Source organism: Homo sapiens, chromosome 7 (genome assembly GCF_000001405.40).
Source record: "Homo sapiens chromosome 7, GRCh38.p14 Primary Assembly".
Lineage (NCBI taxonomy): Eukaryota > Metazoa > Chordata > Mammalia > Primates > Hominidae > Homo > Homo sapiens.
In genome coordinates, this window is record NC_000007.14 from 97,965,191 (window position 1) to 97,981,537 (window position 16,347).

Consider the following 16,347-nt stretch of genomic DNA (forward strand, 5'->3'; position numbering starts at 1 on the left):
GTTACTAAGGTCACAATGCATGTACACCCTCTGATATTATTCATCATATCCTCGGGGGATGTCACTTTTAATGTCACATGGGGTGTACTCCCTGTGATATTATTCATAATATCCTAAGGGCTTGTTACTTTTAATGTCACCAGGGGTGTATATCATGCATATTCAACACCTGTGATACTATTCCTAATATCCTAGGGGCATGTTCCTCCTAATGTCACATGGGGTGTACACCATGTGTGTACACCTGCTGTGGTATTATTCATAATATCCTAGGGGAATGTTACTCCTGATGGCACAGACGGTGTACACCGTGTGTGTACACCGCCTGTCATTACTCGTAATATCCTAGGGGGATGTTTCTTTCAATGTCACAAAGGGTGTACAAAATGTCACAAAATGTGTTCACCTTGTGACGTTATCTGTAATACCCTGGAAGGACGTTACTCCTAATAGGTCACGGGGGTGTACACCTTTTGATATTATTTGTAATCTCATAGAGAGATATGACTTGAAATATCAGTGGATGTACACACATAGTGTATACCCTGTGATATGATTCATAATATCCTAGGGAGATACAACTCCTGATATCACAGTGCGTGTACCCCGGGTGTGTACACCCTTGATGTTAATCATAATATCCAGGGTAAAGATTACTCCTAAGATCACACAGTGGGCATACCCTGTGATAATTTTCATCATATTATAGGGAGATATTGCTTCTAATATCACAGTGGTTATACCCCTTTTGTGTATACTGTGTGACAGTATTCTTTATATCCTAGGGAGGTATTACTCCTAATATCACAGTAGGTGTTCACCCTGTGTTATCATTATTTGACCTTGCTGCCTTTTTGAACCCACACTACAAAGGAATGGAACAGATAAGATATTGAGATTAGACTGTGCTGCCGTGCGGCTGCCGCAGGACACCTTTCATATCCCTGTTTCTCAGGCTGTAGATGAAGGGGGTCAGCATGGGGGTGACCAGTGTGTACATCACTGAGGCCACTGCACCCTTTCTGGGGGAAGATGACACATCTGAACTGAGGTACCCTCCAACGCCTGTTCCATAAACTCAGCAAACAACTGACAGGCGAGACCCACAGGTGGAGAGGGCTTTATACTTCCCACCTGATGAAGAAACCCTCAGAATGGAGGAAACAATTTTAGAGAAAGAGAAAAGGGTCCCCAAGATGGGAAGAAAACCAAATATGGCAGCAGGGAAATACATGATTATGTTAATGGTGAAGGTGTCACAACATGCAAGATGGGAGAGTTGAGAAGGGTCACAGAAGAAATTAGGAATTTCCACATCCTTGAAGCAGGTCACTTGTAAGGCAATCAAGTTGTGCAGCTGGGAGTCTAAAAGACTGAGAAAAAAAAAGACAACAAAACTAGAAAGGCACAGAAACACGGGTTCATGATGGTGAATGATATAGCGGGTGACAGATGGCTACAAACCAGTCATAGGCCATCACACTCAGGAGCATGTCTCTCTTCCATGCCTCCAAAAATGGCAAAGAGAGACATCTGAGTCAGGCAGCCTGCATAGGAGATGACTCTGCTGTGAGACTGGATGTCCACAATCATCTTGGGGACCGTGGTGGAGGTGAAACCGATGTCAGGCAAGGACAGGTTGGAGAGGAAGAAGTACATGGGGGTGTGGAGGTGGGAGTCAGGGCTGATGGCCAGGATGATGAGCAGGTTCCCCAGCACCGTGACCAGGCACATGGACAGGAACAGCCCAGCAAGGACTGGCTGCAGTTCTGGATCCCCTGAGACTTCTAGGAGGAGGAATATAGAGACATCTGTTAGATTCTGTGGGTCTGCATAATTTGGACACCTTTGCCTAGAAACGAGGGTTGAAAAATGGGAAACAAGTAAACCAACACCTGGCATTGTGTCTGCATTTTGAATAGAAGCAATTCACAAGTAATGTTTTCAGATTTCAGAGCAATCCACACTCAGCAATATTTTGCAGTTCTGACAGACTCAATTGTCTTCTAATGCTTTCATCATTGATTTCTGTGTTATTCACTTCTTGCTGTACACACCTGCCTTAGAGACACTAGATTCAAGAATGTTCCAAGAACCAGATCATCATACATAACAAATTCGTAACTGCTAGAAAATACAGCCTATCTTTTCCGAAGAAAACTATGTAATAAAACCATTCTCTTCACTTGAAGAAAAAGGTTATCCTAATTAAAGGAAATTAAGAACTCAAATATTTTATTCTACTAGATTGATGAATTCCCTTGATTTAGAACATTTATAAACACTGTAGAACAGCTGAGACCATGTCATCTGGAAATGAAATTAAAGTTGATAGTTCATAAGCAGAAAATAATTCCACATGCCAGTTAGGTCCTAGTGATTTCATCATTATGTTTTCTGACTTTTCTCCTTCAAGAGAGTAATTGCTTACTCAAATCGGTGGGTCTGGTTTTAAAATTCATGGAAGCTGTAACTCCTGTCCTTAGCTTAGGTGGACTTAGAGTTTTCATCAGAAAGTTTGGCCAGATGCGGTGGCTCACGCCTGTAGTCCCAGCACTTTGGGAGGCTGAGGAGGGCGGATCACGGGGTCAGGAGATCAAGACCATCCTGGCCAACATGGCGAAACCCCGCCTCTACTGAAAATACAAAAACTTCGCCCGGTATGGTGATGCGCGCCTGTAGTCCCAGCTACTCGGGAAGCTGAGGCGGGAGAATGGCTTGAACCTGGGACGCAGAGGCTACAGTGAGCCGAGATCACACCACTGCACTCCAGCCTGGGCAACAAGAGCAAAACTCCGTCTCAAAAAACAAAAAAACAAGAGGAATCAAGTAAGTCAAAGTTACACTTATGACAGCCAATTTTTGTGAACCAAGGAAGTGTGAATTCAAGAATTCACATAGATGTTGACTTTGGCTATCTCCTATGTGCCAAGCAAGATATAGGCTCTAGGGAATTATTAATTCAGCTTATTAAATCTCCCAGTTCTTTTCAATACAGAGACTATTTACATGAGAAAACTTAAGTTAAAAATATGTTACAAAAACTACCATTAAGTGATGTTGTCTCATTTATGAAACCACCTAATTGCTTTAGGCATCTTTCAAAAATTTCAACTTATCCTGAAGTTTCAATTTACATACAGAATATCACCCACATTTTTGTTATTTTTCAGTTTCCTCTCAATGAATGGAATCATCAAACTTTTTATCCTTTTTTTTTTTTGAGATGGAATCTCGCTCTGTTGCCCAGGGTAGAGTGCAGTGGCGCAATCACAGTTCACTGCAGCCTCGACCTCTGAGGCTCAAGCGATCCTCCCACCTCAGCCTCCCAGGTAGCTGGGACTACAGGCATGCACCATGATACATGGCTAACTTTTATAAAATTTTTTGTAGAGATGGGGCCTTCCTATATTGCCCAGATTGGTCCTGAACTCCTGGGCTCAAGCAATCCTCCCGCCTTAGCCTCCCAGAATGCTGAAATTACAGGTGTGATTCACAGTGCCCTGTCTCGCTGAAACTTTTAAATCATAAAATTATCTGCATTCTGTACATTCCTTGAGCACATAGACACACTTTTTCATCAATGGGGACACATTCCTACTATAAGGCTGAGAAAAGAGAAGGGAGTTCAATACTTACTGAATAAATGTAGGCATAAACCTCACTACCTGTTTCAAAGGCCTCATTATTTTCTTCTCTAAGACAAATACAGAGTCACTTTGCAGTCATTTACAGATTTCTCTTTAAACAACCCTGAGCCTAGAGATAGGCGTAAGTGGTTGGACTCTGAGTTGAGAAAGAATGCCATGCTTACCTTGTACATGCTGTAGCACTGCTGCAGCACCGAGCTATAAACCTTGTCCTACACACACGAAAACATAGCACACATATCAGTTCAAGGGAAAAACAATGTCTACTGGATAGATGGCAAAGGTACACTGACTCTTGGCCAAACAGGATAATGTTTACAAACTTGGTCCCACCATAGTCGTGTGCTGATAAAAAGTGTTTGCGTTCTTTTTTTTTGGAGATGGAGTCTCGCTCTGTTGTCCAGGTTGGAGTGCAGTGATGCAATCTTGGCTCACTGCAACCTTTGCGTCCCCGGTTCAAGCGATTCTCCTGCCTCAGCCTCCCAAGTAGCTGGGATGACACGTGTGCGCCACCATCCCTGGCCAGTTTTTGTAGTTTTAGTAGAGACAGGGTTCCGCCACATTGGCCAGGCTGGTCTTGAACCCCTGACCTCAAGTGATCTGCCTGCCTCGACCTCCCAAAGTACTAGGATTACAGGTGTGAGCCACTGTTCCCAGCCAGAAGTGTTTAAACTCTAATTTGTGAATCAGTAAGCCTTACTTTAGGAGGGCTTTCAATACAGATGAGGAATAGAAGGTATTAGTGAGATAGGGTGCATATACATTTTAAAAAGATTATGCTCATGTAAATGATAAACATAAACCTGTGCTATATACCCCGAGAAACTTCCACAAAAGCCACCTAGTTTAAATCTGACCAAGGAAGGCATTCAACATACTCAGCAATACATTTAAATAAATAAATAAATAAATAAACAATGACACGTTACCAACAACTCCTCCTCTTGATATTCAATAACTGGTTTTCCATCTTTACTGTTTTTCAATTATAGGATTCCGAACAACCTACAAAGTTTGATAAACTGAAATTATACAATGAATTCATTAGACCATGTTTATTTTGCCTTAGTTTAAAAACTTTGCACATGCTACAGCACCAGAAACACAGCTTCTTAAAGCAGCCCCAAGAACGAATAAAGCAAACAGGAAGAACTTGATTTTAAAACTGCAACGAATTTTATTTTAATTTTACTTGGATGCAATAGCCAGAGAACTTTGCTAAATTCTGAATAGTAAAGATCACCCATAACTTCACCATACAATTTCAGAAAGATACACTGTGTATGTAAATACCATGACCATCCAGAAATTTTCTTCTGGTTCATTAAAGAACTGTCTGTTCTTCTGCGTATGTAAAGATTTTGCAGGTTTTGATGGGCTAAAGGTCCTACAAAGGTTAAAAAAATATGTTTGGGACAATTCTCCAGCAGCAGTTTTAAGAATTCACTGAACTCTAAAGGCACACTTAGAGGTATTACCTTGTAAACTGTACAATAGCTTCACACAATCCGACATTTCTAATCTTCTCATTCTTTTCTATTTTTTTTTTTTTTTTGGAGACGGAGTCTCGCTCTGTCGCCCAGGCTGGAGTGCAGTGGTGCGATCTCCGCTCACTGCAAGCTCCGCCTCCCGGGTTCACGCCATTCTCCTGCCTCAGCCTCCCGAGTAGCTGGGACTACAGGCGCCCGCCACCACGCCCGGCTAATTTTTTTGTATTTTTAGTATTGACGGGGTTTCATTGTGTTAGCCAGGATGGTCTCGATCTCCTGACCTCGTGATCCGCCCGCCTCAGCCTCCCAAAGTGCTGGGATTACAGGCTTGAGCCACCGAGCCCGGCCTCTTCTTCTTTTCTACCTCATTTGGATGATAAAATAAAATCTTATTTTCCTCCTGAAACATGAGGAAACAGAAGCACATCATGAATAGAAACATTTCATCTTAGCTATTGAAAACGCTAAGTTCAGTGTCGACCTCTTGTGTCGCACATGCTAATGACAAAACCAAAGAAAAACCGGTTTTAGAAAAACAGGAATTGTAATCCTAGCACTTTGAGAGGCCGAGGTGAGAGGATCACCTGAGCTCAGGAGTTCAAGACCAGCCTGGGCAACACCGTGAGACCTCGTCTCTATTTAAAATAATAACAGGAATTATCTCATCATTGTGCAAATACTGCCCAACAGTCAGAAGGCAATTTCGATAGTCAATAAGTCACATCTGAAGTAGCACCAGGTAATTTTTATGAAAACTCAAGTCTCCATATTTCTTTCCTAGAGCTAATCTGTAATACACCAATGCTTGTAAGAAATAAAGGTTTGCACATCTGCAGACACATAGCTCCCTGAAAATTAAATCCAGCCAGTTCCCAAGCATTTGAACTGACGAGTTTTTTTTTTTTTTCTTTTTCTGGAGATGGGGTCTCTGTCACCCAGGCTGTAGTGCAGTGGCCCAATTACAGCTCACCTGCAGCCTCAATCACAAGCGATCCTCTGGCCTCAGCCTCCTGAGTAGCTGGAAATACAGGTGCGTGCCACCACACCTGGCTCATTTTTCGATTTTTTTTTTTTTTTTTTTTTTTTTTTTGGTAGAGTCGGGGGTCTTGCTTTGTTGCCCAGGCTGGTCTGGAACTCCTGGCTCCAAGTAATCCTCCCATCTCGGCCTCCTAAAGTGCTGGGATTACAGGCGTGAGTTACAGCGCCCAGCCTGGACAGTCTTTAAAAGAACTCTGACTTGCTGGTAACGAAACACAGCTCCGGACATCCTTTGAGAAAGTCGCCGTCCCCACCTCAGAAAACACACACACACACACACGTGTCCCGGAACTTACACACACACACACGTGTCCCGTAACTAACTTACACACACACACACACACGTGTCCCGGAACTAATTTTCCTCATTTGGGTGAAAACTTTTACAGGGTCCTCCAGGCTTGCATCATTTGAAGGCTAGCGTCTGCCACTCTGCTTCCACGCTTCTAGTTGGGGACTACCCACTTAACAAAGCCAAGTTCAATTTTAATTTCCCAGAACTGACGCAACGCAAAGCGCAAAGAGACTGAACCTGGGGTGTGGAGTGATACAGACCTGACGGGGCTTTATTCCATAGACAGACATCGACCCAGGACCTGAAGCGGTCCCTGCCTGCTGTCAGGTCCCCGCCGCAGCCCCCGGCCCGGGCTCAGCACCTGGCACAACGCAGGCTAGGTCAGTGCCGCTCGAGGTGGGCAGAACCACAGGGCCGCCGCCCCTGGGGGGCACCGACGCCGCCCGCTCACGCGCCGCCCCCTCCGCATACCTCTCCTTCCCGCGGCCAGAAGCGCGGGTTGTAGATGAAGAAACTCAGCAGCGCCGGCAGGAACTGCTTCTCCTGGGCCGCCGAGGGCCCGCTCCCAGCCCCGGCCGCCGCTGCAGCCATCCCGGCCGGGTCCCCACCTCGGGAGCCTCCCACAGCCAGCCCAGAGAAAGCAGCCACCTGCTAGAACACCGCACTTCCGCCTCCCTCGCCACCACCCCGGAAGCGCTCGCCGCCGACCAGGAAGAAGAACCCGCCTCGCAGCGTCCTCTTCTGGCACCCCAGGGTGGCCTTGTTGTCTGTTTCCCGGCCGAGTTTGTGTTTTGCTGGCTCGCGGAGTTTTCTCCTGGCTACGGGCGAGGGTTGCGCGTTTCAGGAAAAACTGAGTGGGGCACTGTTTGTTTGTTTGTTTGTTTTTTGATAGGATCTCAGTTTGTCATCCAGTCTGGAGTGTAGCGGCGGGATCTCAGCTCACTGCAGCCTCAACCTCTGGGACTCAAGCCATCCCCCTGCCTCAGCCTCCCAAGTAGCTAGGATTACAGGGCGCGCCATCAAGGCCAGTTTTATTTTTTGTAGAGGTGGGGTCTGTGTTGCCCAGGCTGCTCTCGAACTCCTGGCTTCACATGGTCTCCCATTTCGACCTCCCAAAGTGCTCCGATTATAGGCGTGAGACACCACCGCCCAACCTGTTGTTGTTTTGGTGGTATTGTTTTTAATTTAATTTAGAGACAGGATCTCGCTTTGTCACCCGGGTTGGAGTGCAGTGGTGCCATCATAGCTCACTGCAGCCTCAACTCCCAGGCTCAAGCGATCTTCCCACCTCAGCCTGAGTAGCTGAGACCACATGCATGCACCACCATGCCCAGATAATTAAAATATATATATATATATATATATATATAGAGAGAGAGAGAGAGAGAGAGAGAGAGAGAGAGTTAGAGAGTAGAGACAGGGTCTCACTTTGTTGCCCCAGCTGGTCTCGAACTCTTGGCATCAAGGGATCCTCCTGCCTCTGTTACTGGATGGAAGGTCTTGACCGTGGATTGCCCAGGTTCTTGGCGTGTTGAACAAAGAATTGAACAAAATGCACAAAGTAGCAAAAGAACAAAGCAACGAAAAGAAACAAAAGAAAAAACCGGAGTAAGGAAGAGACAGATTTATTGAAGCGAAAGTACAATTCACACAGCAGGAGCGGGATAGAGCAAACGGTTCGATAGCACCCGTCAGGATTTTTATTAAGCTGGAAGAATTAGGTAACGCCCCTAGGTGCCCGTTAGATGCCTCCGATTGGTTACACCCTCTGAAGGATTGGCCTGTGACCAATCAGAGGCTGAAGTGGAGACTTGCGCACCACCACCCACCCCCCGCCGTCAATCAGAAGCTGTCACCCTCCCCCCGCCCCCCTCTCCGCCTGATTGACGGAATGAACACGTGGCCTCCATGCTGCCTAATCTTGCCTAGAACTGGCTGCACCTGCTGTTCTTTTGTTTCTGCCTTAACCCTTGGTTACCCTCATGCCCTATTCTGCCTCACCTGGCCTCCCAAAGTGCTGGGATTACGGATGTGAGCCACCCACACCTGGCCCATTGTTTTGTTTTTAGTTTATTTAAAAAGTATTTTATTCTAAGACAGCACTTTGCTCTGTTGTCCAGGCTGGAGTGCAGCGGCCAGATCATAGCTCACTGCAGCCTGGAACTCCTGGGCTCAAGTGATCCTCCCACCTCAGCCTCCCGAATAGCTGGGACCACAGGTGCATGCCACCATGGCTGGCTAATTTTTAAATTTTTCGTAGAGCTGGGGTCTCACTATGTTAACCCAGGCTGGTCTCGAACTCCTGGGCTCAAGTGATCCACTGGCCTTGGGCTCTCCAAGTGCTGGGATTATAGGCATAAGCCCCTGTGCCATGGCAGTTTTTTTGTAGAAGGAAATGTAAAGACACAAAGGAAGCCTCATTTAGAAAGAAACAAGGCTGGGCACGGTGGCTCATGCCTGTAATCCCAGCACTTTGGGAGGCCAAGGTGGGTGAATCACTTGAGGCCTGGAGTTCCAGACCAGCCCCGTCTCTACTAAAATACAAAAAACTAGCCAGGCGTGGTGGCACATGCCTGTGGTTCCAGCTACTTGGGAGGCTTGAGGCAGGAGAATTACTTGAACCCAGTAGGTGGAGGTTGCAGTGAGCCAAGATTGCACCACTACACTCCAGCCTGGGCAACACAGCAAGACCCTGTCTCAAAAAAAAAAAAAAAAAGAAAGAAAAGAAACACATTTCTGTTTGGCCCATTAGCATAATCTACAGAGTCCTTGTTTGAGAGACCTCAAGTGACCACTGGATCACCCACACCTACAAAGTTTGCCCCTTTCCCCCATTCCTTCAGCGCAGGTCTGGAGGCAGATGGGGCACTGTGTGTGCCATGGGAGCAATATCACAGGTGGCAGACTCACCAGAGTGGCTGTTCCTGGACCTTGTCGCCTGGGATTCCCTTGCCTTTGAGGTGTGTGGGTTGTGGCATAGTTGGGATGGCTCGTTACGGTTGTTTGGATTCAAGCCTTGGCAGCATATGGTTTGACCAAACTCAAGAAGACTTTGGTTTAGATTGCGTCATCTGTCACATATTAAGTTTGGAAGCAGAACCACTTCCCTTATCCAGCCTGGCAGAATAGATCACATTTAGGGAAGTGATGAGTTGGAATTTGGACTGGAGACAGATCTGGGTACATATCCACTTTTGCCATTCACCGACTGCACCAATCTCCTTGCACCAAAGAAGAGATAGAGACTCTCTCGTCTGTATCTCTTATTTGGAAAATGGCTAATAGTAAATTCCTGCCAAGTGAGAATTTCACTTGAAGAGTTAAATGGGACTATGAATGTGCATCAAGTGCCAGCACCTAATCATTATTTCATAAACGATTGCTACTGTCCCTTGCTATTGACTTTCCCAATTAGCTTGCTCTAGTGCATGAAATTATTCCATGAGAAATACATGTTTTGGCTGGGTGTGGTGGCTCATGCCTGTAATCCCAGCACTTTGGGAGGCCGAGGCTGGCAGATCGCTTGAGGTCAGGAGTTTGAGGCCCAACATGGTGAAACACTGTCTCTACTAAAAAATAAAAATAAATAGCCGTGCGTGGTGGCAGGTGCCTGTAGTCCCAGCTACTCCAGAGGCTGAGGCAGGATAATTGCTTGAACCTGGGAGGCGGAGGTTGCAGTGAGCTGAGATTGCGCCACTGCACTCCAGCGGGGGGACAGAGTGAGACTCTGCCTCAAAAAATAAATAAATAAATAAAAATAAAGCACAAGGTGCTATACAAGTGAGTGAGATTAATATTTTAGAGTATGAGTCATAGTTTCTCCCAGGATACCTCTGTGTCCTTGTACATGTTTGCCTCTCCCTTCCTCCCACATACAATTCATTGCAGGAGGCATCGAAAGAGGGAGATGCCAAAAAACAAAATGAAACATCCAGAGATCAAAGAAAAGAACATGCTTTTATGGTTTCAAAGTTAAGGATGCAAGAACGCTTAGACCTCAATGCATCTGCCTCTCCAAACAGAGTCCTTGGGTGTGCACGGATACGAGGCAGGAGTGGTAGTGATGACAGATACCCGCATAGGTTTGGAGGTCTCAGAGGAGAGGGTGTGTGTGTCTTTCTCCCTGGGGAAGCTGGGGGAGGTGGTGAGCTTTGCAGAGTTCCCCTCTGGGTCCAGCATGGCTCAGTAACAGTAGAGTAACCATGGAACAGGGGTATCTGGACGAGATATCCTTATTGTTCAGGAAGAAGCTGAATGATTTACTTGTGCATAGAAGGAATTCAGAGAAAGCCAGTGCTGAGAAGCCTCAAGGTCAGGACCAGGAGGAGGTAGCAGTGGCCCCTCAAGACCACGAGAGTAGAGAGGATTGAGGATGACTCTGTGTTCACTGTTCTGACTGAGAATACTCCAGTCCCATGTGGGGCCTCGACTCTTTCCCCCAGCCTATGGTAAGAAGGGAGAAGAGGTTGCTTAATTACCTGACATAATTAAGATTCTGACTCCCAGCACAATGGGAATTCAAATCAAGTTCAGTTACAGAAATAGAAGTTAGATGTTTTGCACAAAGAATTTGCGAACTCAAAATTCCAAGGGAATGAGCTGTGGGAAAGACACATTTTGGTGTTGGAAAGGGAGCTCAGTTCCAAGTAGAAAGTCACAGTTCCGGCCAGGCACAGTGGCTCACGTCTGCAATCCCAGCACTTTAGGAGGCCAAGGCGGGCAGATCACTTGAGGTCAGGAGATTGAGATCAGCCTGGCCAACATGGTGAAACCCCGTCTCTACTAAAAATACAAAACTTAGCTGAGCGGGGTGGCACACACCTGTATCCAAGCTACTCAGGAGGCTGAGGTGGGAGGATCACTTGAGCCTGGGGAGGTCGAGGCTGCAGTGAGCTGTGATCGCTCCCCTGTATGCCAGCCTGGGCAACAGAGCAAGACCATGTCTCAAAAACATAATAATTTAAGGTGAATAGATTTACATTCATTGTAGAGCCCCTAGGAAAACAATGTCAAAATCTATCCCCGCCCCCCACCAAAAAAAGCTGACTTTTTGAAACCTGTGAAAACATATGCAAATGAAGTCTTTCCAGTGAATAAATTAACAGGCCAGGTGGAAACCATCCTGGTGATTCCAATTTCATCTGTCTTCTTAAGTGTTTGCAAAGTAACCGCATACCTTAACATGAGCAGAAGAGATAGAAGATAGGTTTTTGCTTGCAATTGGATTCTGGAGTGCTCATTACATAAACTTAAACTGCAGTCATGACAGAGAATTAACTACGTACCTTGTAAACCTGTACAAATAGACAAGTATTTCCTATCTTCACTGTTTTGCTATGCTTTGCTTATGAGCTAGAAAGAACTACTTTGTAAATACTGCTACTAAGTCTTTACTAAGTACTACTACTTAGTAATAGCTACTTACAAAATCCTAAAGCATTTACTGAGTATCAGTACTTAGCAAATGACTACCTACAGAATACTAAAACATTTACTGGATAGCCGTACTTAGCAAATGACTGCTTACAAAATATGAAAGTATTTACTGTGTAGCAGTACTTAGCAAATGACTACTTACAAAATACTAACATATTTACTGAGTTGCAGTACTTAGCAAATAACTATTACAAAATACTAATTAATTAGATTTTGTGCAATTATATAGTAGTGCTAAATATTAAAATACTTAGTATTTACAAATTACTAAAGTATTTACTAATTAGTGGTACTTATAGTATTTACAAAATCTTATAAATACTTCATCATGTACAGATGCTGAAGCAAAATACTAGATAATGTTTGAAGTATTTTAATAATTCTTATTAGTCAACAACTAAACATTCACAAAGCTGGTTTTTAAATTTTTATTTTTTTATGCTAATCTCTGTATTGTTCCAATTTTAGTATACGTGCTGCCAAAGCAAACACACAAAGCTGGTTTTAAGATCATGTTCTGGCCGGGCGCGGTGACTCACGCCTGTAATCTCAGCACTTTGGGAGGCCGAGGTGGGTGGATCACCTGAGGTCAGGGGTTCAAGACCAGTCTGGCCAACATGGTGAAACCCCATCTCTACTAAAAACACAAAAATTACCTGGGTGCGGTGGCAGGCGCCTGTAGTCCCAGGTATTTGGAAGGCTGAGGCAGGAGAATTGCCAACCCAGGAGGCGGAGGTTGCAGTGAGCCGAGATCGTGCCACTGCGCTCCAGCCTGGTGACAGAGTGAGACTCCATCTCAATAAATAAATAAATAAATAAATAAATAAATAAATAAATAAATCATGTTCTACCAAAATATGAACTACTCTCCCAAACTATAAGCCAAAATTACAATTAAGTAAAAATAGTCAAAATGAAAGCCCACACTTCCAGTCCTGTTTTATAAGCAATTAGGGAAAATAATAGGATGCCTAATTTTTCAACTCTGTGACCTACGTTGCAATCTAGACCTTCATTTCTTTCTTTTTTTTTTTTTTTTTTTTTTTTTAGCTAGGTTGTTGGTCTATCATCCAGACTGGAGTGCAGTGGTGCGATCACAGCTCACTGTAGACTCCAACTCCATGGGTCAAGGCATCCTCCTGAATACCTGGGACAATAGCCGCACCATCACACCCAGCTAACTTTTAAATTTCGAGATAGGATCTTGCTATGTTGCCCCAGCTAGTCTCAAACTCCTGGGCTCAAGTGATCCTTGAATCTTGGCCTTCTGAAGTGTTGGGATTACAGGTGTGAGACACCACACCTGGCCGTAGACTTTCATTTCAAAGTCAATATATGGCTGGGCATGGTGGCTCATACCTGTAATTCCAGTACTTTGGGATGCCAAGGTGGGCAGATCATCTGAGGTCGGGAGTTCGAGACCAGCCTGACCAACATGGTGAAACCCTGTCTCTACTGAAAATACAAAATTAGCCAGGCGTGATAGTGCATGCCTGTAATCCCAGCTACTCGGGAGGCTGAGGCAGGAGAATCGCTTGAACTGGGAGGTGGCGGTTGCGGTGAGCCGAGATTGCACCATTGCACTCTGGCCTGGGCAACAAGAGCGAAACTCTGTCTCAACAACAACAAAGTCAACATACATCATTTTGGTGCTAAGAATAAGCTCTCTTGAGGTAGACCTGTGGTCATCTACAAATTAGGTAAAAATTGAGAAGGCAAGCGCAAAGATAAAGGTGGTTATATGTTTGTCAATCCCTTTTCTGGATTGTTCTAATTTTCTCTAGAGTTTTGATTTCATTTTGGGTATGTTATATTTAACATTCTCCTTCAATACATGAAAATACATACAAATGAGTCAAACAATGAATAGAAATTTTGGGAACAGAATAGCATGCCAAGCTTTCATTAATTTGAGTGTGGGACACACTCTAGGCATGAAAGATTTTTTTGAAATCAGAATTTATTACTACTTTGGGCCAGGTGCGGTGGCTCATGCCTGTAATCCCAGCACTTTGGGAGGCTGAGATGGGTGGATCGCCTGAGATTGGGAGTTTGAGACCAGCCTGGCCAACATGGTGAAACCCCATCTCAAGTAACAATACAAAAATTAGCTGGGCATGGTGGCAGGCGCTTATAATCCCAGCTACTTGGGAAACTGAGGTGGGAAGATCACTTGAACCCGGGAGGTAGAGGTTGCAGTAGGCCAAGATCACGCCACTGCACTCCAGCCTGGGGGCAACAGAGAGAGACTCTTTCTCAAAAAAAAAAAAAAAAAAGAATTTATTACTACTTTGGTTTAGTGATAGTTATTGGGCAAACTCTGCATCTCTTTTCATTTTATTTATTTTATTAATTTATTTTTGAGACAGGGTCTCGCTCTATCACCCAGATTGGAGTGTAGTGGCATGATCATGGCTCACTGTGGCCTCAACTTCCAGGCTCAAGGGATCCTCCCACCTCAGCCTCCCGAGTAGCTGGGACCACAGGTGCATGCTACCACACCCAGCTAATTTTTAAGTTTTTTTGTAGAGACACGGTCTCCCTATGTTGTCCAGACTGGTCTTTTTTAAAATTTTAATTTTAATTTTTTTCCTTCATTTTCTCTAGTTACTATGCTGCACTTTATTTTATCTCTTTTTATTTATTTATTTATTATTTTTTTGAGATGGAATCTCTCTCTGTCACCCAGGCTGGAGCGTAGTGGTGCGATCTCGGCTCACTGCAACCACCACCTCCTGGGTTCAAGCGATTCTCCTGCCTCAGCCTCCCAAGTAGCTGGAAGTACAGGCATCTGCCACCACGCCTGGCTAATTTTTGTACTTTCAGTAGAGATGGGGTTTCACCATGTTGGCCAGGGTGGTCTCGAACTCCTGACCTCAGGTGATCCGCCCGCCTTGGCCTCCCAAAGTGCTGGGATTGCAGGCGTGAGCCCCTGAACCCCACCCAGCTGCACGTTTATAAAGGCTCCAGTCTTCTCTCCCTGTTCTGTAATCCTCCCAGCTGGCAATAACTAGGATTAAAATTTTACTGCATCTCCTTTCATTCTTTTTATTGTGAGATACATGTTGAATAGGAAATTTGTATGAAATTCATGTAATGACTAAACTCAGGTAACTTAAAAAAATTATTTTAAAATTATACTTCCCATCAAAGGCTTGGAAATGCTAATTATTATTATTTTTTTTTTACAAAATGCAAACTTAGAAAAATAACAACTAAATCAAAAAGTGCTAATTAATGAATATGCTCAAATGTGCAAAGAGGCCAGCCATGGTGGTTCATGCCTGTGATCCCTGCACTTTGGGAGGCTCAGGTGGGAGGATCACTTGAGGCTAGGAGTTCCAGACCACCCCTGGCAACATAGCAAGACCCTGTCTCTACAAAAAATACAAAAATTAGCTGGGTGCAGTTGGTGAGCACCTGTAGTCCCAGCTACTTGAGAGGCTAAGGCAGGAGAATCACTTGAGCTCAGGAGTTGGAGGCTGCAGTGAGCTGTGATTGCATCACCACACTCCAGCCTGGGCAACATAGCAAGACCCCATCTCTAAAAAAATTTTTTTCTAATCCCCAGAGAGTTTTACTTGTATGAGCAGTTGAAATAAATCCCCCCTCAACCCCACCAGAGCATACCCAGAATCCAAATAACATAATTAAACTTTGGTATGAGTAAAGACGAGATTATTAGGTTTCATGTAAGTGTACCACCTGGAAATTCTTGGGTGTTAAATAGAGATAGTGCTTCATTATTGCTGCTTATTGTCTGTTGACAGAGACTCTGAAATGAAGTCCCTAAGATCGGGTTGGAAGAATGAAAAAGTAGTGTACTGTTATTCGAAATGGACAAAAATAATTGTCCATTTGAATTGTAGTTTTGAGACAGTAAAATGAATAAAATTTATGAATAACCAACTAAAATTCTACCTATAGAAAATCCAGCCAGGTGCAGTGGTTCATGCCTGTAATCCCAGCACTTTGGGAGGCCAAGGCGGGTGGATCACTTGAGGCCAGGAGTTTGAGACCAGCCAGGCCAAGATGGCAAAACCCCGTGTCTACAAAAAATACAAAAATTAGCTGGGCATGGTGGTATACACCTGTAATCTCAGCTCTCAGGAAGCTGAGGCAAGAGATTGCTTGAACCTGGGAGGTGGAGGTTGCATGAGCTGAGATTGCACCACTGCACTGCAGTCTGGGCAACAGAGCGAGACTCTGACTCGAAAAAAGAAAAAAAAATGTTCTGGCTATTTATCCCTTTGTATACATCTAAGCATTTTCCCTAAGACAGTCAGACCTAATAGTCTTGACCTAATCCAGTGCTAATAGTCTTGTCTTTACTCACACCAGTTTTTAACTGTGGTGTTTGGATTTGGGGAATGCTCTTGGGGCGTTTAATTCCACCTATGAATACAAGTAAACCTCTTTGGGCACGAATTTGTTTTTG

The 16,347-nt window shown here is 44.6% G+C and overlaps 1 long non-coding RNA gene and 3 pseudogenes across 3 annotated transcripts in view, besides 1 other annotated feature; all 4 read right to left on the minus strand.

The window, feature by feature from the left end:
- The window catches only part of CZ1P-ASNS (CZ1P-ASNS readthrough), a 120,242-nt gene extending 113,074 nt beyond the window's left edge, over positions 1-7,168 (minus strand). Inside the window, exon 1 of the long non-coding RNA NR_147989.1 lies at positions 6,945-7,168. This is a non-coding gene — a long non-coding RNA (CZ1P-ASNS readthrough). The remainder of the gene's footprint in view (positions 1-6,944) is intronic.
- OR7E38P (olfactory receptor family 7 subfamily E member 38 pseudogene) lies at positions 902-1,887 on the minus strand (annotated as a pseudogene).
- Positions 1,218-7,168, minus strand: CCZ1P-OR7E38P (CCZ1P-OR7E38P readthrough; annotated as a pseudogene). Of its 2 annotated transcripts, NR_002822.4 has the most exons (4): positions 6,945-7,168; positions 4,580-4,655; positions 3,815-3,862; positions 1,218-1,787 (listed from the first exon to the last, which is right to left on the minus strand). The product of NR_002822.4 is annotated as a CCZ1P-OR7E38P readthrough, transcript variant 1 (transcript). The 2 variants fall into 2 exon arrangements; NR_148008.1 differs by lacking the exon at positions 3,815-3,862.
- On the minus strand, positions 3,815-7,131 carry CCZ1P1 (CCZ1 pseudogene 1; annotated as a pseudogene).
- Positions 6,764-7,073: a silencer, noted in NCBI's record as "silent region_18389". NCBI's record gives its function as "represses an Ori minimal core promoter by ATAC-STARR-seq in GM12878 lymphoblastoid cells {active_cell/tissue: GM12878}" and the evidence as "EXISTENCE:reporter gene assay evidence [ECO:0000049][PMID:35858748]".